General features: G+C 40.3%; 1 annotated feature.

The window, feature by feature from the left end:
- Positions 10831-10880: a silencer, noted in NCBI's record as "silent region_2588". NCBI's record gives its function as "represses an Ori minimal core promoter by ATAC-STARR-seq in GM12878 lymphoblastoid cells {active_cell/tissue: GM12878}" and the evidence as "EXISTENCE:reporter gene assay evidence [ECO:0000049][PMID:35858748]".

Consider the following 24294-nt stretch of genomic DNA (forward strand, 5'->3'; position numbering starts at 1 on the left):
CAGTATCTTTTTTCTTTTAACTTTCTAACTGATTATTATAGACAATTAGATATTCTATTAAATTTTGTGGTCTTGTACTAGCCATATTTACTCTCAGATGAGTTTCAGAAATTTCTTAGTTTATTCCCCTAATTTGTTACTTTATGTAGACAATTATATTATCTTCAAAGAATCATCACGTCTTTTCCTTTCTCATATACATATTTCATTAAAAGTTTTTTCCTATCTTATTTAATTTGTTAGCATGGCTAGTAAAATATTTATCGATTGCAGGGATGGCAGGTTTTCTGGTGCTTTGTATTATTTATTTGTTTATTTTTGAGACAGGGTCTCACTCTATTACCCAGGCTGGAGTGCAGTACCAGGATCACAGCTCACTGCAGCCTCAACATCCTGGGCTCAGGAGATCCTCCCACCTCAGCCCCCCAAGTAGCATGGACTACAGGTGTGCACCACCATGCCCAGTAAATTTTTTATTTTCGTAGAGTCAGGGTCTCACTATGTTGCCCAGGCTGATCTCCAGCTCCCGGCCTCAATCAATCTTCCCACCTCAGTCTCCCAAAGTGCTGAGATTACTGGTGTGAACCACTGTGCCTGGACCATATCTTTTACTTTAATGGGAATTTTAAAATGTTTTGGCATTAAAATGGTGCTTTCTATAGGCTTCTACTATATTCCCTTCCAACTTTTGTTAAGTTAAAGAAATGTCCTCTTATTCCTTTTCTAAGTTTCTTTCCTTTTAAAATTGAAATGTGTATTGAAATTTACCAAGTGCTTTTAAGCACTATTGAAATTTGTATATCATTTACTTTGATCTGTTATTGTTATTCTACCTGTATTCTACCTGTACAGGAATATTCTACCTGTATTCTACATAGAATACATAAAATAAATTCTACATATTTTACTTAGAATACACAGAGTAAATTCTACTTTGTCATAACATTTTATTCTCTTAATAATCTGCTGGATTCAGTTTTTCAAATAGTCTATTTGTATGAGCTCATTAGTGAAATTTGCTTATGAAGTATTAATCACAAGTTGATTGACCCAAGGCACCTTCCAGTCCTTGTGTCTATTCAATCTCAATTGAGGTTGTTGTGTGCTCTTCTAGTCTTTATAGTATTTTTCTCTTGCATATGTTTCTATTTTCAAACAATTACTCATGATTTCTAGTCACTGATGAGACTTTCTCCTATTTTCCAGGGCTTGTTGGGCTTATCCTTGTAATATTAAAAATATTTGGATGGGAGGATCAGCGGTCATCTGTGTTCAGTCTATTATCTTGAACCAATTCCAGTATAGTTGCTGCTGTATTTAAGAAAAATTTTATGCCTGTTTTATAACTTTCTGCCCCATTAAATTATCTTTTTTTGGACTAATAGTTTTGTATTAATTGTTCTGAGTGTTTTAGAAAGGGAATGATATTATATAAAAGCAACTTTAGGCTCGGTGCAATGGCTCACACCTGTAATCCCAGCACTTTGAGAGGCCAAGGCAGGGGGATCCCTTGAGCCCAAGACTTTGAGCCTAGGCAACATAGTAAGATCCTGTCTCTACAAAAAAATGAACAAAATTAGCTGAGTGTGATGGCATGCACCTGTAGTCCCAGCTACTTGGGAGGCTGAGATGAGAGGATGGCTTGAGCCTGGGAGGTCAAGGCTGCAGTGAGCCGAGATCACGCCACTACATCCAACCTGGGTGACAGAGTGAGACACTGTCTCAAAACAAAACAACAATAAAAATTTGTATCTCTTTTCCAAAAAGGATATCTTTTTTTTTCCTTTCCATGATCTTATTTTATTGGCTAGAGATTTCAGACCATGTTGAATGTGTATGGGGACAGAGGGTATCCTTATTACTAAAGTTAATAGGGCTCAATTTTGTACATGTATAGAATATTTGCTGCTGGTTTTGTAGACATTTTTTATCTCATTTGAGTTATATCTTTGTTCCCTTTACTTCTAGGTTACTAAGTAATTTTTAAAAAACTATGTATTGCTGTTGAATTATTATCAAATTCCTTTTTGACCTTTATTCAGAAGGTCTTCCTTCACCCCCCTTGACTTATTAAAATAAATAGATTTCCTAATTGAGGGAGATCACCGTCATCCTTTTCTCCATGGTTTTCTTTCATCATCACCCTATTGTCTTTGCAGTGCAGGATGAACAGCAAGACCCTGACAAGCAAAAGGGTGTCTTCAGCCAGTGAAGATGGCAAAATGGATAGACAGAAGTGTGCTTTTCTAGTTGTTTATTTTTTTTGTCTTTCCCATCATGTTAAAAAAATTTTCATCACTCTCCAAAATCCCAGTCCATCCCCAAATAAAACAAGGCCCTGCAGAGAGTCAGCTTTCTGGCTAGAGTGCAAGGTACATGCTGTAGCCATTGGACAAAACGAAGCCAATTGGGTAACAGGATAGAAACCATGACCCTGGCTCTTTATCGATGAAATAACCAGGCACAGACATCACAGGTTTTCTCTTTGCCAGTTCAAAATGCCAAAAAGGGATGCAGGGGAAGAATTAATGAAGATTCTCTCTGATGTAGCTTCTGTACTCCCTCCCCATAGCGTGTGTTTGCTTTTTGAGTAGGGGATTTGATTCTGAAATACACCATACTTGGCAATTTTCTTTAAAGCTTAAACTCTTAGAACTAAGTCTCAGGATTTTCGATGGCCATGGGCAAATGCTTTTTTTGTGGATACTGTTTGATGAATGTGCCCAGTTGACGCCTATGCTCACAATTTCCACAAGGAACATCCTGAACCTTTCTAACTAAACACAAGGCTAATGAATTATGTGTGGGAAACTCTCTCTACCTCTCTCTCTCTCTTTTTTAAGTATGTAGCAGTCATGGAAGTTGAGCCATCTTTCCATTAGTGCATGATTGCAAATGTCTTTCTTAGTATTTAACTACAGGATAAGACAATGGCCTAAAAACTAGGCCCTAGAGATGAGCCTAGTAGGCTAGTTTCCCAAATTGTGAGAGAGTATTCAGGATGTTCTTGCTACCCAACAGTATATTCCATGGAGGTAGATCTAGGAAACTCTGATAAGACTTCCGGGCTGCCACACTCAAGACCTCCAGCACCTTTGCCACTTGAACCAGTGAAGAGTCTCACAGCCTGCCCTAACCACAGCTCCCTTCTGAGAGGAAAAGCTGCTCACAGTGAGTGGTCATAGTTATGGTATTTATCCCCATTCCTACTGCCCCTATTCACACATATACATAACAAGCTAACTTAAGGGTGACCCAACCATAGGCTAGTGACCTTCCTCCAAATGCTTTTATTTATTCTATTATTTTTATTTTAGAGGCAGAGTCTTGGTCTGTCACCCAGGCTGGAGTGTAGTGGCATGATCTCAGCTCACTGCAACCTCCACCTCCCCGGTTCAAGCAATTCTTGTGCCTCAGCCTCCTGAGTAGCTGGGATTACAGGCATGTGCCACCATGCCAGGCTAATTTTTGTATTTTTAGTAGGGACAGCATTTTGCCATGTTGGCCAGGCTAGTCTTGAACTCCTGACCTCAAGTGATCTGCCCATCTCAGCCTTCCAAAGTGTTGGGATTACAGGCATGAGCCACCGTACCTGGACCCCCAAATGCTTTTAAACGAATCACATTGCTCTCTCAGCAAGGAAGAATTGGAACACTGAGAGACTAAGCCAGTTAGGTATCACAGGTGAAGTTGGGGCAGGCTGGATCTTAAGAGACCAAGTACAAGTTAAAGTTTTGAGGGAGAAAAGACTGAGAAAGCAGAGGACAGTGGATGGTAAGAAAGAGAAGAAAACAGATGTGCTGAGAAAAGCAGAGAAGTCCTACACATTAAGTGGCCATGGTTCCTATTGCTTCCCAAGCTCCAGTTCTCATGAGGCACCAGGATGTATTATAGTTTACCGTCTTTGGGAATCTATGAGATTCCTATGTATTCTCATAATATTAATCCTTTGTATGTGTCAACTTGAGTGTTCTTGCAATCAAAAGACCTGGCCTAAGATATGGGCAATGTGGGAAATCCACATTTAGGCAGGCAGTGGAAACTTTAAAACTCTGTCTTTAGTGCCAGCCAGTTACTTTTAATTTGTTTTCCTCATCATAGGAAACCTTATAGAATTGGAGTGTGAATTTCTTGGTGCAGGATGGGAATGCCCAGAGCTTGAGGATTTAGGGTTTACTGGCAGGGCTGAGATCTCTTCACACTCCTACTCAAGAGGCATGACTATCTTCCATCACCTCAAGAAGGTTTTAACTAATGCTTTCAAGATGTGAGTGATTGGTAATTTACAAATGATGCTGGGTAGACTGTCTCTGACATATCCACTTGCACCTCCAGAACTCTTTATATGAGCGATACTCACTTCTCAGTTCATTTGCTCAGTAAACAAAAGATCAAAGGGGAAAAAAAGGTAAGAATTAATAGTAGGAAATGAGCATTTTAGAGAAATGTCTGAAATCAGCTGAGTGCAGAAAGAGAAAGCTTGAATGTGATAGACATCAGCTCTAGAAATTTTCTGAACACTCTAGGATTCTTATGAACCTGCAGCCATCCTTCAAGGCCCAATTCATAGGGTATTCTTTTCTTGAATTGGGAATTGAAGGGTGGATAGGATTTAGATATGCTGACTTGAGAGCAGTGGCATCCCTTGTGGAGAAAATAGCATGAGTGAAGATCTGGAGAGGGTCGAGGCCACTATGTGTGGAAAACTAAGGACAATTCAGTTTAGCTGTGGGGCTAAGGGTACACAAATGGAGGAAGACGCATGTTAAACCAAAAAAGTAAATTGCGGCTTAACCCCTGTAATGGCCTCTAGGCAGGCAAAGTGAGTATCAGAGTTTCATGAGTGAGGGAGGGAGTGATTCATTAGCTGCCTTTAGGAATATTAACTTGGAAACACTGTGTTGTGAGGATTAGAGTGAGGAAGGAGTGGACATTGGGAGATCTGGCGCAAGATAAGAAAATAGGCTGGGTGTGGTGGCTCATGCCTGTAATCCCAACACTTTAGAAGGCTAAGGTGAGAGGTTCCCTTGAGTCCAGGAGTCTGAGGCGAGCCTGGTCAATGCTGTGAGACCCCCATCTCTACAAATAATTTTTTTTAATTAGCTGAGAGTGATGGCATGTGCCTGAAGTCCCAGCTACATGGGAGGCTGAGGCGGGAGAATGGCTTCAGTCCAGGAAGTTGAGGCTGCAGTGAGCTATGTTCTCACCACTGCACTCCAGCCTGGGTGACAAGGGAAACCCCATTTCAATCAATAATAATAATAACAATAATAATGTAGTTTTAATAAAAGGAGAACAGGAAGAGAGCAGATGAAAAAGAAATTAAATTACAGAGAAATGGCTCAAGTAGGCCTTGAAAAGAAGCAGTCTGTGTTACCCTTGGAAGTTGCCTGCTTGTGTTGTTGGCAGGATAATGGTACTTTTAGGAAAGTGGAGAATGCCAGAGAAGGAGAAGGAAGTGAGGAGGAGGAAGAAATAGGGGAGGAGAACTCATTCTTGAATCAGTTTAAGAAGCTTCAAAGACTCAATTGATGAGTGAACATCAGATTTAAATACACCCTGTCTCCATTAGGGAGATACCCAGAAAGATGCACTATGTCATGGCTAAATTAGGCTGAGTTTCATGTCTGCATGAAGAGAAGTGTATTGGTCTATGTCTGTAACATATATATCACTAAATTTTTCAATGTTTTTGTAATTTGTATAAAAATCTCAAAAAAAAAAAAACAGTCTTTTTTTTTTCCCAAGGGGATTAAGCTATCCTATGGCGTATAGCCTTGGGTTTTTATTTCATTGTAATAATTTTCTAGTCACTTAAAAAGTTCTTGCGTATTTAGAATTTATTACTCCAAGTTTGAAAAATCTAAGGCTTTGTGTCTTAGCACATTGCATCTCTGTTAAGACATTCTTTCCACAAAGACATTAGAAGGATCTCTGGAGGTGACTGATGAAACAATAATTTTGAGTGGATTTAGGGTTTTAATTACTGTTTTATTTAATTGTGAGTGGGCACTGTGGAAAAAAAATCCATCAACAAAGGAAACAATTGTTCCAAAGAATTACATCTGCATTTATTCTCTGTCAAAAATTTCTCATTAAAAATGTGTTTCTTTAAAAGTAACTCAAAGCAGCTGATGAAATACAAGAGCATGGAAAGTTTCAAATCCCAGTGCAAACTGGATTCATCCAAGATCATTTGCCAGAGACTTGACTCCATGGTAAAGAGCTTCTCACCATTTCTCACATCCATTAACTGGGTTTCATACTTACGCTCAGATGCTGGCAGTTTTATTTCCATAGGTGGATATTTTCCACTCAAACACTTCCTTTTCATAATACTTTTGATGTCTCTAGAGCATTAATACTGTTTGACTTTTCTCTTTAGTGATGACTCTGACTCATGTTTTTTTTACTTTAAGAGAGTGGGTGAAGAAAGAAAGAAGCCATAGGCAGCTCTACTAAAGAGGTGAAAATCCTAAAGACCATTCCACAATGTCTGAACCACCATCAAAGACTAGTGTGTGAGAAATGACAGTTACTGAGATTATTCCCAAACCATTCTCTAGTTTTTTTGGAAAGATCAGGCCTGCATGAGAGGCCACTGGGGTAAATCTTACAAAAAAATAAGACTGTAGGAAAAAATAGAACTACCATTTGATCTAGCTGTCCCTCTTTTGGGCATAAACCCAGAGATAATGAAATCACCACCTTTTTAAGATATCTTCACCCCCATGTTCACTGCAGAATTATTTACAATAGCCAAGATATGGAAACAACCTAAGTGTCAATCAGTGGACAAATGGATAAAGAAACTGTGGTGTGTATATACAATGGAATATTATTCAGCCCTAAAAAAGAGCAAGATCTTGCCATTTGCCACAACATGGATGAGCGTGGAGGATATTATACTAAGTGAAATAAGCCAGACACAGAAATACAAATACTGCATGATCTCATATGTGGAATATGACCTCACATGTAGAATATGCTGTCACATGTGGAATCTAAAAACAAATTCACTGTTGGGCCCTGTGACTCATGCCTGTAATCCCAGCACTTTGGGTGGCTGAGGTGGGAGAATCACTTGAGACCAGCCTGGGTAACATAGTGAGATCCTATCTCTACAAAACAAATTTAAAAGATAGCCAGGCATGATGGCACCCACCTGTAGTCCCAACTACTGAGGAGGCTGAGGTGGGAGGATAGCTTGAGTCCAGGAGGTCGAGGCTGCTGTGAGTCATGATCATGTCACTACATTCCAGCCTGGGTGACAAAGTGAGACTCTGTCTCAAAAAAAATAAATAAATAAAGTAAATACATTGAAAATATTTAGAGACAGAGAACAAAACAGTGATTACTGAGGCAGGGGTAGAGAGTGAAGACGAAATGGGGACATGTGGGTCAGAGGATAGAAAGTGGTAGATATGTAGGATGAACGAGTCTAGAAATCTCATCTACAACATGAAGATCTTAGGTAATTAAATTGTGCTGTGTATAGAATTCACTGTAAATGAGTAGATTTTAGCTGCTCTTGCCATGGGTAACTATGTGAAATGACGACTATGTTAATTTGTTTTCACTATAATAACCTTTTTACTATCTCTGTATATCCCTTAACATGTTATATACCTTAAATATACATAAAAACGTTTATTTTTTTAAAAAGATTACAGAAAAACATCTCTTTGAAGCTGGCACTGCTGATGAAAACTAAAGCAATAGATGGAGAAAAGAGGACGATAAAGAAAATTTGGGCTGATATTCTCCAGAAAAGGAAAGGGTGGCCACCTTGTCAATGGATTTGTTGAGCACCCATTATGTGTGGGAAGGGATTACCAAACGCTACAGAAATCTCTGTCTTGAGGTCATGTAACAGTCTATTGAGGGAACAAGGCACATATATACCAAAATGATTTAAATAGCAAGGTAAGAGTAGCATAATAATTCTCAGCAGCTACTGAGCGTTGTATAGACATTGCTTATTTAATACTTACCAAATCAGCCCATGAAGTAGATGGGTTTGTTAAAATGTATTTGCTGACTGGCAACAGAAAAGCCAAAAAAATATATACTGGCTTAAACAAGTAAGGAGGTTATTTATATCATGCTACAAAAAGCCTAGAGTTTGTTGCCCTGGTTAGGACCACCTGGGACACAGTCTCCTCCATATTTCTGCTCTACAGCCCTTAGCTCCACAGTCATAGTTGCTGCCCATTCAAGCATCACATCTGTGTGTAAAGCAGGATGAAGGATGGTGTAACGGGCGTGGGGCACTTATATAAGAAAAGGAATGTTTTCCCAGAAATTCAAGAATACTTCCTCTTATATACTATTAGCCAGAACAATGTCAGTAGGCTACCATCAGCTTTAAGGAAGCCAGTTGCTTGAGCATTTTAGCTGGGCACATTGTTACCCTGAACAAAACTGGGGCTCTATAAGAAGGAAAAATGAGGAGAGAACTTACATTGGGAACATAAATAGCAGTGTCTGCCATGGTGGGTTGACTATGTCATTTTACAGATAATAAACTGAGGCTCAAAGAGGTTAAATGGTTTGCTCAATTTATCATACAACCAGCAAATAGCAGAGCCAGGGTTAAAACCCAGATGTGAGTGAATCCAAAGTTTTTACTCGTAACTCCCATTCATTACTGTCATGTGGCGCTTCAAATGAATGATATAAATAACTTGATGGTAAATGCAGGGTGGGAGTAGATCAATACGATTTTGGTAGGTAGAAAATAGGGAGTAAAATCATGCAGAGAGAAAGATTTTTCCTACTGTTGGAGGCCTTTGGGGGACAGGAAAAAGTCCAAATTGATTATCAGAGAGTTATTGTTAGGGAAGAATGGGAAGAAAGCTCAGAAAGAAGTGCTGGGACACCAGGCTTCCTTGATAGCTCCCAAGTAACAAGTCCAAAATGGAATTTCTGATTTCTCTGTTCCCTAATCCACTTTATTCTCCATCTTTTCCCATCTCAGTAAAATTCACATTTATATGCCCAGCTGGTTAAACAGAAAATCTGAGGGTTGACATTCATCCTTCTGTTGCCCTCACTCTCACATCTGCAAGTTCTGAAGTATTTACCTCCAAAATATCTCTCACTATGTCCTTTCTGTCACTATCTCTGCCCCTTGCTCATCCAGCTTGCCACCAGCGTGTGCTTGAGAATGGAAACAGCCTCCTCCTAATGGGTCTGCTTGCTTCTTCTCTTGTCTCCTTTAGCCAGTTCTCCACTTGGCAATCTTGAATGAACTTTAAACATTGTAAGCCAGATCATATGACAGCATCCACTTAAAACCCTCCTGTGGTTTTTGTTGCACTTGGAAAGGACCCCAACTATGTCTTTGGCTTAGACCCCAGCTTTGTTTGTGACCCTGCACAGTCTAGTACTTCCTTACCTTTCCAATCCCATCTTGCACCGCATTCACCTTTGCTCACTCTTGGGCTCCAATTACAGTAGCTTCTTTGCAATTGTTGAAATGCTTCTTGCCTTGCCCAAGATCCTTCTTTATGGTTTGGAGTACTTTACCCCTGGTCAACTCCTGTTTCTTCATATTTATGCTTAAACATCATCTCCTCAGGCGGGGTTCCCCACGTGCTCTCTCTAAATCCAGTCCCTCTTGTTCTTCTCTATCAGAAACTTAATGATTTCATTTTTTTTCACATTCAGATTACTTTCCTACATATGTAATTATACCTTTATTTGTTATTTGTTTACCTTTTTCTGGTCTGTCTCCCCTGCCCCCTATTAAGAACAATGAGGGCAGAAGCTGTATTTGTTTTGCTGCTGCTATATATCTGGTAACACAGTGCTTGGCACAGAGTAGGTGCTCAATAAATGTTTGAATGAATGAATGAGTGAATGAATAAACAACTGACAAGATTGACTTGGCAAAGTCTCAAATGCCAGTAGAATGTGTTGCACACACAATTAGAAATAAAGCTTGTGGGCCGGGCGCGGTGGCTCACTCCTGTAGTCCCAGCACTTTGGGAGGCTGAGGCGGGAGGATCATGAGGTCAGGAGATCGAGACCATCCTGGCTAACACGGCGAAACCCTGTCTCTACTGAAAATACAAAAAATTAGCTGGGCGTGGTGGTGGGCACCTGTAGTCCCAGCTACTAGGGAGGCTGAGGCAGGAGAATGGTGTGAACCTGGGAAGTGGAGCTTGCAGTGAGCCTAGATTGCGCCACTGCACTCCAGACTGGGCGACAGAGCCAGACTCCGTCTCAAAAAAAAAAAAAAAGGAAATAAAGCTTGTGGCCGGGCACGGTGGCTCACGCCTGTAATCCCAGCACTTTGGGAAGCTGAGGCAGGCAGATCACCTGAGGTCAGGAGTTCGAGACCAGCCTGGCCAACATGGTGAAACCTCATCTCTACTAAAAATACAAAAATTAGCTGGGCGTGGTGGCGGGCGCCTGTAATCCCAGCTACTTGGCAGGCTGAGGCAGGAGAATCACTTGAACCTGGGAGACGGAGGTTGCAGTGAGCCGAGATAGTGCCATTGCACTACAGCCTTGGGGACAAGAGCAAGACTTTGTCTCAAAAACAAAACAAAAACAAAAACAAAAACAAACAAACAACAACAACAACAAAAAATCACAAAAGAAATAAAGCTTGTTAAAGCAATGTTTGACAAGAAGGATTCATTTTATTTACGAGAATCAAATCCAAATGGCAGGTGGGGGATGTCTCTATAGCAGTTACCAGGATGGTCTCTGATAATTTTATGGAAACAATAAGAACTACATGTATTTAATTCTATTTTAATTTAACCATTCTATGTTCAGGGGGTAGAATTTTGATGATGACAACTACTTCCTCTTCCCTGGAGCACTGTTGAGAAACATTGCCCAGTGTGGCCCTGGGGAGCAGTTTCTGTTCTGGCCTGATCTGGATTCCTCTTCTCCCAGCTTCTGCTGACCTCCTTCTGACTCTGATGCTGGTCCTTAACCGACACTTGTCCTTAACCTACGCTGCCTGCTCAGGAATCAGTCACTTCCTTCTTTCAGGGTCTTTATTACTTACTATTTGCGGATGATTCTTGGTGTCTGAAATGTGATTGCTCAAATTTCACTTTACATAAGTCTGCACCAGTTGATATTTAGAAAAGTTTTACTTCCCTCTAATATATGCGCAAAAAACTGCCTGCTTGTTCAACATCTATACCTGAGTTCTTTGCCTCAGTAATAACAAGGATGATATCTACAGCAATAGTAACATAGCTTCTACTATTTAGTACTTACTATGTAAAAGGCATTGTGCTACTCCTTTGAGTAATTAACTTAATATTTTCCACAGGTGAAGAAGCTGAGGTATACAGCATGTATTAAATAGAGTGTGATAACTACTGTAACACACAAAGCCTTATTTTATTGCTCATGTCCATGTACCTTAGTGGTCAAGGGTGTCTACTCCACATAGTTATTCACGGATTCAGGCTCCTTTCATATGGGTCTCAGAATCCTCCCTTAGGTCCTCTGAATCTGGTGGCACTGACAAGACAAAGGAGAGAGGAAGTGGAGATCATACAAAAGGGTTTAGAACCCAGGCCTAGAAGTAGTGTATTCCTTCTGCTCAAATTTTATTGGCCAGGAATCAATTACATGCCTTTGTTGAAATGCAAGGGGGCTGGGAAATATAATCTTCTTATACACCTAGGAGAAGAGGAAACAATTTTGGTGAGTATCTAGCCAGTCTCTGCCACACAGAAATTAAACAACTTGTCATACAATAAATAAGTGCAGATCTGGGACTCAAATACATATTGGTTGGACTAGAAGCCTAAGCTGTTAGGCACATGTCTATCCTCTCTTTACCTGTATATGTACATTTTTTAATATAAAAACTTTTATATATATATGAAAATACATTTTTAAAGACTGTGCTGCAGCCACATGGTGAAAGCAAGTTTATAGTCTGCTCTTCGTCAGGAAGACTCACTACCTGATTAAGGGCCAGGCTGAAAATGTCTTCTTTGATGAGACAGAAAAATGCATGCTGTGACACTTCCTGTGTGAAGCCATATAACCTTCCTTTTCATGTCAGCAGCTCAGGGATCCTGTTCCTGCTTAACCTATTCCAGCCAGAGATCATGAGATCATATTAGACTAAGGACTTTGGACCTTATCCTGTGGCCAGCCTGCTAATGAAACTCTTAACTGGATGCATTTAAAATGCAAGTGATAGTCTCTCTTTGCTGTATGGGGAGGGCCTTACACCAGTGTAATGGGTATAACTTTGTTCTATAAGTTCAGGTGTGTAAAAAATGTACTTTACATTTTCCTTTAACTCAAATTACCATATTTTATTAATTCCAATACATGCCTTTTTGTATGCTAACATCTCTGAAATGTGGATCTAATAATTGATGGCATGTTTGAATTGCTATTTGCTGGGTGGCAGTGCTGATTTATTTGCCATTGTCTGTATGTGTGTGAACATGGTCATAGGTATTTAGATATTGTTACCTCTTTAGTTGAATAATATGCACTGTTGGTATTACCCAGGCAGAGTTTAGTTGCTGTTTGCAATATTTTCAAAAAGATTATCCTGAGTTTCAGCAATGAAATGAAAACTTATAATGAACAGAAAGGCTCAGAAACAGTAGTGGAGTGTAAATATAGTAAAGCAAAAAAAAATTATAAGAATCACTTCAAAGCTACAGTGTCATACAGAGTAAGAGAATTAAATTACTATAAGTATACGAAACTGCGATACAGAGTTATGTTAAAAAGCATTGCATGTTAGTACATGCCAAGCAAGAGCGCACTCACATTAAACCTTTTTGTTTTTTTTGTTTTTTTTTTTCTTTGAGACGGAGTCTCCCTCTGTCGCCCAGGCTGGAGTGCAGTGGCACAATCTCAGCTCACTGGAAGCTCCGCTTCCCGGGTTCACGCCATTCTCCTGCCTCAGCCTCCTGAGTAGCTGGGACTACAGGCGCCCGCCACCGCACCTGGCTAATTTTTTGTATTTTTAGTAGAGACGGGGTTTCACCGTGGTCTCGATCTCCTGACCTCATGATCCGCCTGCCTCGGCCTCCCAAAGTGCTGGGATTACAGGCATGAGCCACTGCGCCTGGCTCACATTAAACCTTTAACAATGGGTGACAACATCTTGGAAGAAAACCTGGAGTCAAGAGTGAGGATACTAGTAAGAAATGTTTCATCACCAACAGAGAAAAATAGTGAGGAGAAAAATATAAACAGTGATGTGGAAGAGTTAGACTCTGAATGAAGAGATATGTTTAGGAATTTCTTAATACATTTATTTTCTTTTTTATGTGTACAAGAGTGACATGTAATAAAAGTCTACGTCCCAACAAGTCTTAAAGGGCTTCTCCAGCAAGTATAAAATAAAAATTTGAAACAAAGAGAAAGCATTGTTTCATAGATTAATTGGGGGCATCTTTCTTTCTTGGTGGCACACAAATTAATGATGTATTTTACAATCGATGGCATTTTAGTATCAATGAAATAGCTAACCTCTCATTTGCACTCCCATTCCTTTGAGTATTGGAAATTAAATTTCAGTCAGTTAAGCACCACCTCTTCCCATGATTACCTTGCATTTCCTGGGGGCTTACGTATGGAAGCCCCTGAGATGACCATCATTCGGCCTGGTTCCTGGTCCTCAGGCAACAGAGATCATTGCTAGGGACATTTCGTTCTCATCTCAGAGCTCTTTCAAAGCTGGCTGGCTCTTTCTGCTACTTCTGTGTCTCTCTTGGATGCAGTTCCTTGGACACAGGAACTTACTAAGGCTGATAAGGCCCTAGGCTTATCAGTGGGCCCTTGGGAGCATAAAAGGTATTCTGTCCCTCCATGTCCTGCTGGGTGGCTGGGTAGCTGAGTACTGGTAGAATTCACTCCTCGTGAGTGCTCTTAGGCATACAGGAATCCAGCCTCTCTTCTGCATCATTTTGGCATGGGGAAACTTAATTGCTTTGGGCTGCTTAGATCTCACATGGCCACATTTTCTCCTATGACATCTTGCAGCCTCCATGACTTTACCTGGAGAAAGGGGCACACATATCATCAAGCCTGCATGGGGTTTGAGGCATTTCCCTTCCCATTCCCACAAGGTCAGTGGGTTGGGCCAGGCTGCAGGACCCACTGTCGGGGATCCACCGGTGTCCAGCTCTCTTAGCTTGCTTTCCACGTCTCCCTTTCATCCTAGTCTGGGCAATGTTTTCTAATATGGAGGGTCAGCTAGACTTTCTCTCAATTTATGTCCCAAATTCTTCTACTCCTCACTAGCTTTGGGCTCTAAAACCCAGGCCAAGAACAGAATTGTGGTTTTCCTTTCTAAGACAGGGTCTCATTTTGAGATAGGGTCTTAGGTTTTCCTTTCTTTTTGAACAAGTGGTTCTGAATGCACAGCTCACTGAATGGAAGAAAGGTCTGAGTGAAAAGAAACATGATAAAACCACACTGAGGAGCATTTCAAAATACTTTCCTAATGCAAATTCTTACAGTGCCTACTCTTTCACTCTTATTTTAACATGTTCTTTTTGGTCAGTTTCTTACATTGCTTGTTTTCTATATCAGCAACCTGGTGGCTGATTTCAATGATCCATCAAGGCTCCTTCCATTTATTTTCCCTAATCACCTCAGTAACCAGGGTGAAGGTATAGCCATTCTCTTCCGCCTCTTCTCTCTTTTTTTTTTTGAGATGGAGTTTCACTCTTGTTGCCCAGGCTGGAGTGCAATGGCGTGACCTTGGCTCACGGCAACCTCTGCCTCCCAGGTTCAAGCAGTTCTCCTGCCTCAGCTCCCGAGTAGCTGGGATTACAGGCATGCACCACCATGCCCAGCTAATTTTGTATTTTTAGTAGAGACGGGGTTTCTCCATGTTGGTCGGGCTGGTCTCGAGCTCCCGACCTCAGGTGATCCACCCGCCTCGGCCTCCCAAAGTGCTGGGATTATAGGAATGAGCCACTGTGCCCAGCCCCTCCTCCTCTTTTTATTTTTATAATATAAGGTTTATAATTTCTATTTCATTGAAAGAAATGAGTAACATACAGACTAGTAGAAGAAAGGGAAAAAAATACATAAAACTTCACTAAGACATCCCCTGGTTGGTGACATTCTGTTGTTTTTCCTTCTAGTTATTTTTTAATGCTTACTTGGCGTGTGCGTGTGTGTGTGTGCGATTAGCATTACATCAGACATAGAACTGTATATCCGGTATTGTTCATTCAACACTATGACTATTTTTCCTTATTATTATAAAATCTTCAGAAACATCAGTGAGTTGACGCAGCAGAGTTTACTCAAACCATTTGCCTAGTATGGAGCATTTAGCTTATTCTCACTGTTGTGAGAATATTTATACATAAATAATAGCATTATGATTGATATCCTTGTGCATGAAGTTTTTCCTACATTTCTGCTTATTTTCTTGAGTTAGTCTCCCAGAATTGGGATTACTAGAAAGACTACCGTTATAAAAACATGCTATTTCCCTGGACTTCATGCAGTATTTCCTCTCCAAATACGAAAATCTTTTACCTGGATACCCTATATCACAGGCTGTACTTGATGTTTCCAGTGGGGAAAAAAATCCAACTGCTGCTGATGCAAGAACATTGTATATCCTCACAAAGGCAAGACTGATGATACAAAAAATATAAAGCCAAAATCTTTGTCTGTTCTTTCCCCCTTTATCGATAGTTATAATAACTTCTCTGAGAGCAGTATATACTATTTGAGTGGAAGATTTCCACAGGCTTCTTTCGTTCACCTCCAGCTTCCTTAGATCTTGACGGCTTTTTCTGATCTCGTAACAATAATTTGCCATTTATCCATAGGAGGAGATGTTCTGTACCTACAAGTGGAAAGTCTGACTCAAATAGTTACTTCTAAAGTTATATTATTTTAAAATCTAAGCTGAAGTTCCATGGTGGATTTAACTTTGAAGAAACACCCAAAGCCAATCCATTCAAAGCATTGTGTTCTCCAAGCAGCTACTGTAGGTGGCTGAGCTCATACTCCAACAATGTGTCATCACTCCAGATGTCTTAGGCCTCCTCTTCTGAAACTACTGTCAAAATCTCTGGCACGTTTTTGAATATCCTCAATGAAGAAAAATCTTAATCTTTTTTGAGGAAGAATTGGATCTTTTGAAACTTTCAGTAGTTTTCAGAATCTAACTGAGTGGACAATGAGATGAGTGGGAAAATGGGCAAGATTTAAAAAAATAAATCACCACAGTACTATTACAAAACCATGAGGCTGATTTTCTTGTGTGACTAGTAAATAGCACAGAATATGAAAACAATTCTCCCAGAGTAAGGAGTCAGATTTTAAGCTGCAGTAGATCATTAGGATATGAACATTAAGGAACCTGATGGCCAGGTTGAGACACTTATACTCTGAAGTGTATGTGTATATATTTAATTTAGGCTCATTCCTTATGAGTGATGCCATTTAAATGAAAACATGTGCATATTTTTAAAGAAAACTCAGCTTGAGATAAAGAAATAAAACAAAATCTATGTATTGACATTCATGGGCTTAATTAATTATAACAGTCCAGGGAGGACTCTGCGTCTTTTAAAACAATGTCATTTTATTCATTTAAAATAAGTACTACATACTTTTTATACAGAATTTGGAAAATCCAGAAATTTCTTTACTCAGAGCTATTCCCTCATAATATATATATTTTTAATATACTTAATTTTTTAGAGCAGTTTTAGGTTCACAGCAAAATTGAGCAGGTCAGAGAGTTCTCATATACCCACTTCCCTAACACGTGCAGATCCTCCCCCATTATCAACATTTCCTGCCAGAGTAGACATTTGTTACAACTGATGAACCTGCATCAAGATAACATTATCATCCAAAGTCCATAGTTTACAGTGGGGTTCATTCTTGTATATAGCATGAGTTTGGACAAATGTATAATGACATGTATCCACCAAAGTATGACATAGAATAGTTTCATTGCCCGCCAAATCTACCACGCTCCATCTCTTCATTATATTTTGATCTAAATATACCTTAGATTGGGTTCTCTGGAAACAGACTCTGAGAATTGCCTGCTGAATGCTTACTGGGAGCATGCTTTCAGGAGATGCTCCTTGTAAGAAAGTAAGGAAGGACCGCGCTGTGCAGAGGAGAATCTGACTCCAGATGCAGTTGCAACTGAGACTCAGCCAATCATGGAGGGAGCTGTGGAGCTGGGACGGCCCTTTAGAATTGACCCAAAGTAAAGTAACTGGCCCGGCTTTTGTATCCTTGCATCAGTGAGTCATTGGCCCCCTAGAGGGGCTAATTCTGGATGATTCTATTTTTTGGGGCCAAGGACAATTCCCAATAGGGGATGCAGCTGTGTGCTATCAGCAGTGATATTCCCAGCAGCTGGAGAGGGACAGGTACTTCACAAAGGGGAGTTGGGCAAAGACTGCATTCGGTATCCACTGCAATGTCATGTTAAAATTGGGATCATACAGTCCATGCAACTTCTCCACCTACTTTTTCACTCAACACTATTTGATGAATTTTTCCCATTTTGTTAACCTCTCTTTGAAATCAACATTTTAAATATCTGCTTATTTTATCATATGAAAGTATCATTTATTTAACTGTTCTCTTATTGTTGAACAATTAATTTTTGACACATTTTCACTATAATAAATAATATAATGAACATCTTTATATCTTTGTAATATACATGATACTAATAAAAATAAACTGTATTTAATTGAGAATGCTTACTATTGACTATGTCAGGCCAATATCTTTCTTGCCTTCCTTGTGGAGTTTTTACGAGAAATAAATGAGAGGCTGGATGCGGTGGGTCACGCCTTTAATCCCAGCACTTTGGGAGACCAAGGCAGGCAGGTCACTTAAGGTCAGGAGTTCAAGGCCAGCCTGGCCAACATGGTGAAACATGGTCTCTACTAAAATACAAATATGAGCAGAGCATGGTGGTGTGTGCCTGTAATCCTAGCTACTCAGGAGGCTGAGGCGTGAGAACCTCTTGAACCTGCGAGTGGAGGTTGCAGTGAGCCAAGATTGCACCAGTGCTCTCCAGCCTGGTTGAAAGAGAGAGACTCGGTCTCAAAAAAAAAAAAAGAGAGAAAATAAATGTAAATTATGTTGCACTTTTAAACTCATTTGATGTTAACTTTGTGATGCAGAGACCATTGTCATCTCCATTTTTCAGATGAGGAAACTTAGGCACAGAGGTTAAGTAGATCATCTAAGTGAGCATTAGAATAGTACAGGCACTATAAATCCAGAGTTTGAGCAAAACATGATACTATTTCCCTCATCCTGCTTTTCTGGTGCTTTTCCTAAGTTTATAACCTTAGAAGGAGAATTCCATAGTCAAGGGCTTGACTTACTTTAAAGCTCATGATAAGAATTGCCAGGTTATTTCCCAGAAGTAATGAGAACTTCCACCAGCAGAGTATGAGGGTTTTATTTCTCCATAGTCAACAACAAAGAACCCAAATTCTTAATTAGAACCATGATAAAGAATAAGTAATCTATTTTCTTGTCTTCCCTCAGGCATTATGAACATTCATTGTTCTTAAGCAGGCCTTTCCCTGGTTTGTTAGCATGCTCAATTATTTCAAGATCATCTTCTAAGTGTTCACTAAAATGGATGACATACATTTCAGAGAAGAATTTTTTGTTTGTGGAACGAATGCATGAATGAGGACAAGGAGAGGCCTGGATCACAACTTTGTACTGGAATATCAGGAGTTGTGTAAAGCAAGGAAGCGGAGACTCTGCAGAACAAAGCCCCTTCAAGACAAGGAAGTGATTTGTGACAATTGACCATTTTTCACATACTCTTCATTGGGGTCTTTTAAAATCTCAGTTGAATTCCTTATGTAATAAGCACTCATTGCAGTCCCTTTACCTGCCAGACTCTATCATGTGCTTGAAAACATTGATGTTTAATTCTGGAAGGAATTCAGGGTCATGTGATCCCATCCCTTATGACACAGAGGAGGAGCTTCAAGCCAGTGCCACCTCGTTGGGGCCTTTCCCTCTCCTGGGGGTGGACTGTAGGAGATGTGGGGAGGGGAGGATGGTTCTGTTTTCCTCCATTCAAGGTCAGAGGAACTCTTCAGAAATGTCTTAGAAGGCAGTCAGAGTTATTTTGTATTATTTTAGCATTGACTTAGACTGATCTTACCCTCACATAACTCCATAGTTAGTTCATTTCTGAATTCTGAGAGATTTCTTTGGAAACCCACAGTTTTTCCCTCACTTCTAAGCTTTGGCAACCTCTTTAAGTTCATTTACTTGCCATTCCCTCTACCATATAGGTTGTTGTGAGGCTGAAATGAACCCAAAGTATTTAAAATTCTTACAGTAATACTTACAAACAGTAAACAATTTATAAATATTGACTTTGGTTTCCTCCCTTCTTCTCTGCTCCCCATTTTCCTCCTTCCCAGAATGGTGTATAGCTGTGAGATATTTCTGAACCTCAACTTCCTCATCTAAAAATCATAAATTATACTTTACTATATATTCACCACACAGGGTTTTAGTGGGGATCAAATGAGGTAATCCATCTAAAGCAACTTTCACAGCACCTGGCGCAGAGCGGGCAGTCAATAATTTGTAGCTGGGATTACTTTAAAACCTGTTAATGTGCTTTAAGTCAGTTATCGAATTTTCTGCGCTGTCTAAAAGAATGAATCATATGCACTTGATTAATTTTCAGCCCTGTTGAATTTATTTCTTTTCTGCTCAGCTTTCCTGAGGTACAATTGACAAATTAAAATTGTGTATATTTAAGGTGTACTATGTGATGTTTTGATATACAGTAGTTCCCCCTAATTCATGGTTTTTCTTTGCATGGTTTCAGTTACTCACAGTCAACTGAGGTCTGAAAATCAGTGAATATAGTACAATAAAATATTTTGAGAAAGAGCGAGAGAGACCACCTTCATATAACTTTCATTATAGTATATTGTTATAATTGTTTATTTTTTTGCTAGTTTTCATTGTTACTATCTTACAGTGCCTAGTTTATAAGTTAAACTTTATCATAGATATGTATGTGCAGGACAAAACATAGTACATGTAGGGCTAAGTATTATCTGTGGTTTGAGGCACCCACTGGAGATCTTGGAACATATTCCCCTTGGATAAGGGGGGACAATTATATGCATAGGTTTGGAGTGATTTCACAATTAACATATCTGTCACCTCATACAGTTATTTTTTTTTTATGATTAGAACACTTAAGACCTGCTCTCTTGGCAAGTTTCAAGCATACAGTCTAGTATTAACTGTAGTTACCAGGTTGTATATTAGATCTATAGAACTTACGTCTTTTATGACTGAAATTTGGTACCCTTTGACCAAAATCTCCTCCCTGTATTGTATCCTGCATCCCCTGACCACCTTTCTACGCTCTGTTTCTATGAGTTTGATTTGTTTAGAATTCATATGTAAGTGATATCATGCATTGTTTGTCTTTCTGTGTCTGGCTTACTTTACTCTGCATAATGTCCTCTGGGTTCATCCATGTTGTCTCAAATGGTAGAATTTTCCTTGTTTTTTCAGTTAGCTCTGTTGAATTTAGATAAAGTATAAAGTTGATATAGAACGAGCATAACATAGATTTCATGGATGAGGTTAATTTCAGCCCTGTTATCTTCAATTTCTGTGTTTTTCTCATCTCTTTTTAAAATTTTTTTTCTTTCCCTTTCTCTTAGTCTCTATTGTTTTCTATTCATGATAACTGAAGTTCCCTTTTCCTATGGTTCAGTTTGAGTAGTAACTTGTGCCAGTGATAAGCAACTGAAATGACTGATGCCAGGCCATTGGCCTCTTGGTTGCTGAATATGTCAGATTCATTCTCCTGGCATCTGGACACTGCTGGACCCTCTTTTCCTGGGCCCGAGGAACAGCATTCCCTCTTTTTTTTTCCCTGTCTCTCTTCTCTGTAAAAAGGCCCCTCAGGGGCTTTTCCTCTTCCTTTACTACTGCTAAGTTCAGAAGTGCCCTGAATTTCCTGTGCAACTGTCTTCTCTCCTCACCTCCTACTCTTTCTGGGTAAGCTTCTCTCTTCCTGTGAGGGCTTCATCTGTATTGTGTTAAGCCCCAAATCTGTGCCTCTGACCTAGACTTCTCAGCAATGTTTAGTGAGAGGACATCTCATCTTGGGTATGCCACTGGCCAGTCCAACTCAATGGGTAGAGAATGAACCCATCATCGTTTTCCCCCAAACCAGCTCTACAACTCCAGCCCACAACCACTCTGCAACCACTAGTGCAAAGGTTGGTAGTTCAGAGGACACAATAGAGGGAATAAATGATGTATTTTGACTTTTCCAACTAGACTCTCACTTTAAAAATGTCATCTTCTCTATAAATACTGATTCAACCCATAATTCTTTTCTCTGCACCTATCTATGTTATATTATAGAATTGATTTTATTCTATTGCTGTGCTTCATTTATGTTTCTTTCCTTTTAGACCAGGGGTCAGTAGAATTTTTTGGTAAAGGGCCAGAGAGTAAATATTTTAGGCTTTACAGGCCATATGGTCTCTGTTGCAACTACTCAACTCTGCGGTTTTAGTGTGAAATCAGCCATAGACAAAACAAATGGATGAGCGTGGCTGTGTTCCAATAAAACTTTATTTACTGAAACAGGCAGTGGGCTGGATCTGGCCCACAAGCCAAGAGTTTACCGACCCCTGGTCTAGACTGTGGACTCCTAGAGAGTTACTTCATAAGAATTTAGAGTTTAGAGAGCCTTTTACCTGCCAGATGATGCTAGAGGTCTGAGAATCTAGAGACAAATGCTCTTCAGTTCCTGACCTCAGGGATCTCCCATGGAGACCAAGCGTGTGCTGTGGTTGAGGTGCAGATTAGTCTCCTAGGGCTGTCCTAACAAAGTGTCACAACTGGGAGGCTCTAAATAATAGAAATGTATTCCTCACAGCTCTGGAGGCTAGATGTCTGAAATCAGGGTGATGGCAGAGTTGGGTCCTTCTGGGTGCTGTGAGGGTGAGTCGGGCCCATGCCTCTCTTCCAGCTTCTCGTGGCTCCTTGACTTTGTAGATGCATCACTCCAATCCTCTACCTATACCTGGAGTTCTCCATGTGTCGTTCCTTTGTACATCTGTCTCTGTGTCCAAATTTTCTTTCTTTCTTTCTTCCTTTTTTTTTTTTTTTTGAGAAGGAGTCTTGCTGTGTTGCTCAGGCTGGAGTGCAGTGGCACAATCTTGGCTCACTGCAGCCTCTGCTCCCTGGGTTCAAGGAATTCTCCTGCCTCATCCTCCAGAGCAGCTGGGATTACACATGTGTGCCACCATGCCCAGCTAATTTTTGTATTTTTAGTAGAAATAAGGTTTCACCATGTTGGCCAGGCTGGTCTCGAACTCCTGACTTCAAGTGATCCGCCCGCTTTGGGGCCTCCCAAAGTGCTGGGATTACAGGCGTGTGCCACCACATCTGGCAAATTTTTTATTTTTAGTAGAGACGGGGTTTCACCCTGTTGGCCAAGCTGGTCTCGAACTCCTGACTTCAAGTGATTTGCCCTCCGTGGCCTCCCAAAGTGCTGGAATTACAGGCGTGAGCCACTGTGCTTGGCCTCCAAGTTTTCTTATTTTATCAGGACACTAGTCAGATTAGGGACCACCCTAATGACCTCATTTTAACTTGATTACTTCTGTAATCTGTAAGATTCTGTTTCCAAATAAGGTCACACACAAAGAGTCAGGACTTCACAATATCATCTTTGAGGGACACAGTTCAATCCATAATAAGGTGTATATATTAATATTTACCATTTGTATACCAAGAGAACTGAGGTGAGGAGGATTCATCCTGCTAAACAATGGGGGAGAAGAAAACGGAGGGCACAAAAACCAACACAACATTTGGCCTGGATGGATGACTAATATCTTGCTAGACTACAGAAATAGGAAAGGAAATTCCAGGTTGAGCAAACAACTTGAGCAAATGCAGGAGGGCAGGATCATAAGAACAAGAAATGTCTTTTGAATAATTACCCTGGTACAGCTGCAAAATGGTGAGGTTGGTAGAAGGGGCTCAAGTTGATTCTAGAAAGATAAGCTGGGGCAAGACCAAATGTGTGTAGGCTTCAAGAGCTGCTTGCATGATGTTTGTTGACTGAATGAAGTATCGAAGTCGAAAATGGGAACAGTGGTTGTGACAAATTCTTGGCTACGAAATCCCTTTCATTCAGTCTCTGGGGGCTAATTGTTGCAAGTACTTGTCAGCGTCTGGACCACTATCCTGCAATCTCTTTCACCAGTGCACTTGGGTTCACAGCTCCCTCGTAATTTTTATGCTTCCTTATGTGTTAGAAGAATGCAATGACAGTATAACTGAAGGTCTAGCCCATAAGCAAATATTCTCTGATGGAAATATGCAATATGTTTGTCTTTTGGTAATAATAATAGCTAACATTTGTTAAATGTTTACTCTGAACCAGCCACTGTTATAAGCATCTTATGTATTAACTCATTTAATCCACATGCTCCTGCATGAGATTCTAGTATCTCCACTTAATATACCAAGTAACTGAGCTTCAGAATGGTGAACTGGCCAATGTAACCCAGTTGGTAAATAACTATTCTCTAATCATTAGATTATATGCTTACTTCTCCCTTTGGCCTTCCTGTCCCCTCTCTCCTGCCATACTTGTCTTCCCATGGCCCCTCTTGGGTCATTCAGTTTGCTTTTGTTCACCTCCAATCATCCATCAATTAGTGTCTGATGTTCAGATTCTTCTCTGTCTCTTACTTCCCGTTTTCTCCCCTATTCTTATGCTTTTCCCCATTTCTTGGTCTTTCCTTCACTGTCCCTGTATTGGCTTATTAGTTTTTCCTACTTCTGGTGTCAGCAATAGATCCAGTTATTTTAAAGGACCTTTCCTTTTTCTTAATCCTCATTTCTAAATTCTTACCAGCTGCATATAAAAACATAGCCCCAGCCAGGTGCGGTGGCTCACACCTGTAATCCCAGCACTTTGGGAGGCCTAGGCAGGAGGATCACGAGGTCAGGAGTTCAGGACCAGCCTGGCCAGCATGGTGAAACCCCGTCTCTACTAAAAATACAAAAAATTAGCCAGGCATGGTGGCGGGTGCCTGTAATCCCAGCTACTCAGGAGGCTGAGGCAGGAGAATTGCTTGAATCCGAGAGGCGGAGTTTGCAGTGAACCAAGGTCGTGCCACTGCACTCCAGCCTGGGCAACAGAGCGAGACTCCATCTCAAAAAACAAACAAACAAGCAAAACAAACAAACAAAACAGCCCCTGCAGACCTCATAGCTAACACAATC

The sequence above is a fragment of the Homo sapiens genome, chromosome 10, assembly GCF_000001405.40.
Source record: "Homo sapiens chromosome 10, GRCh38.p14 Primary Assembly".
Lineage (NCBI taxonomy): Eukaryota > Metazoa > Chordata > Mammalia > Primates > Hominidae > Homo > Homo sapiens.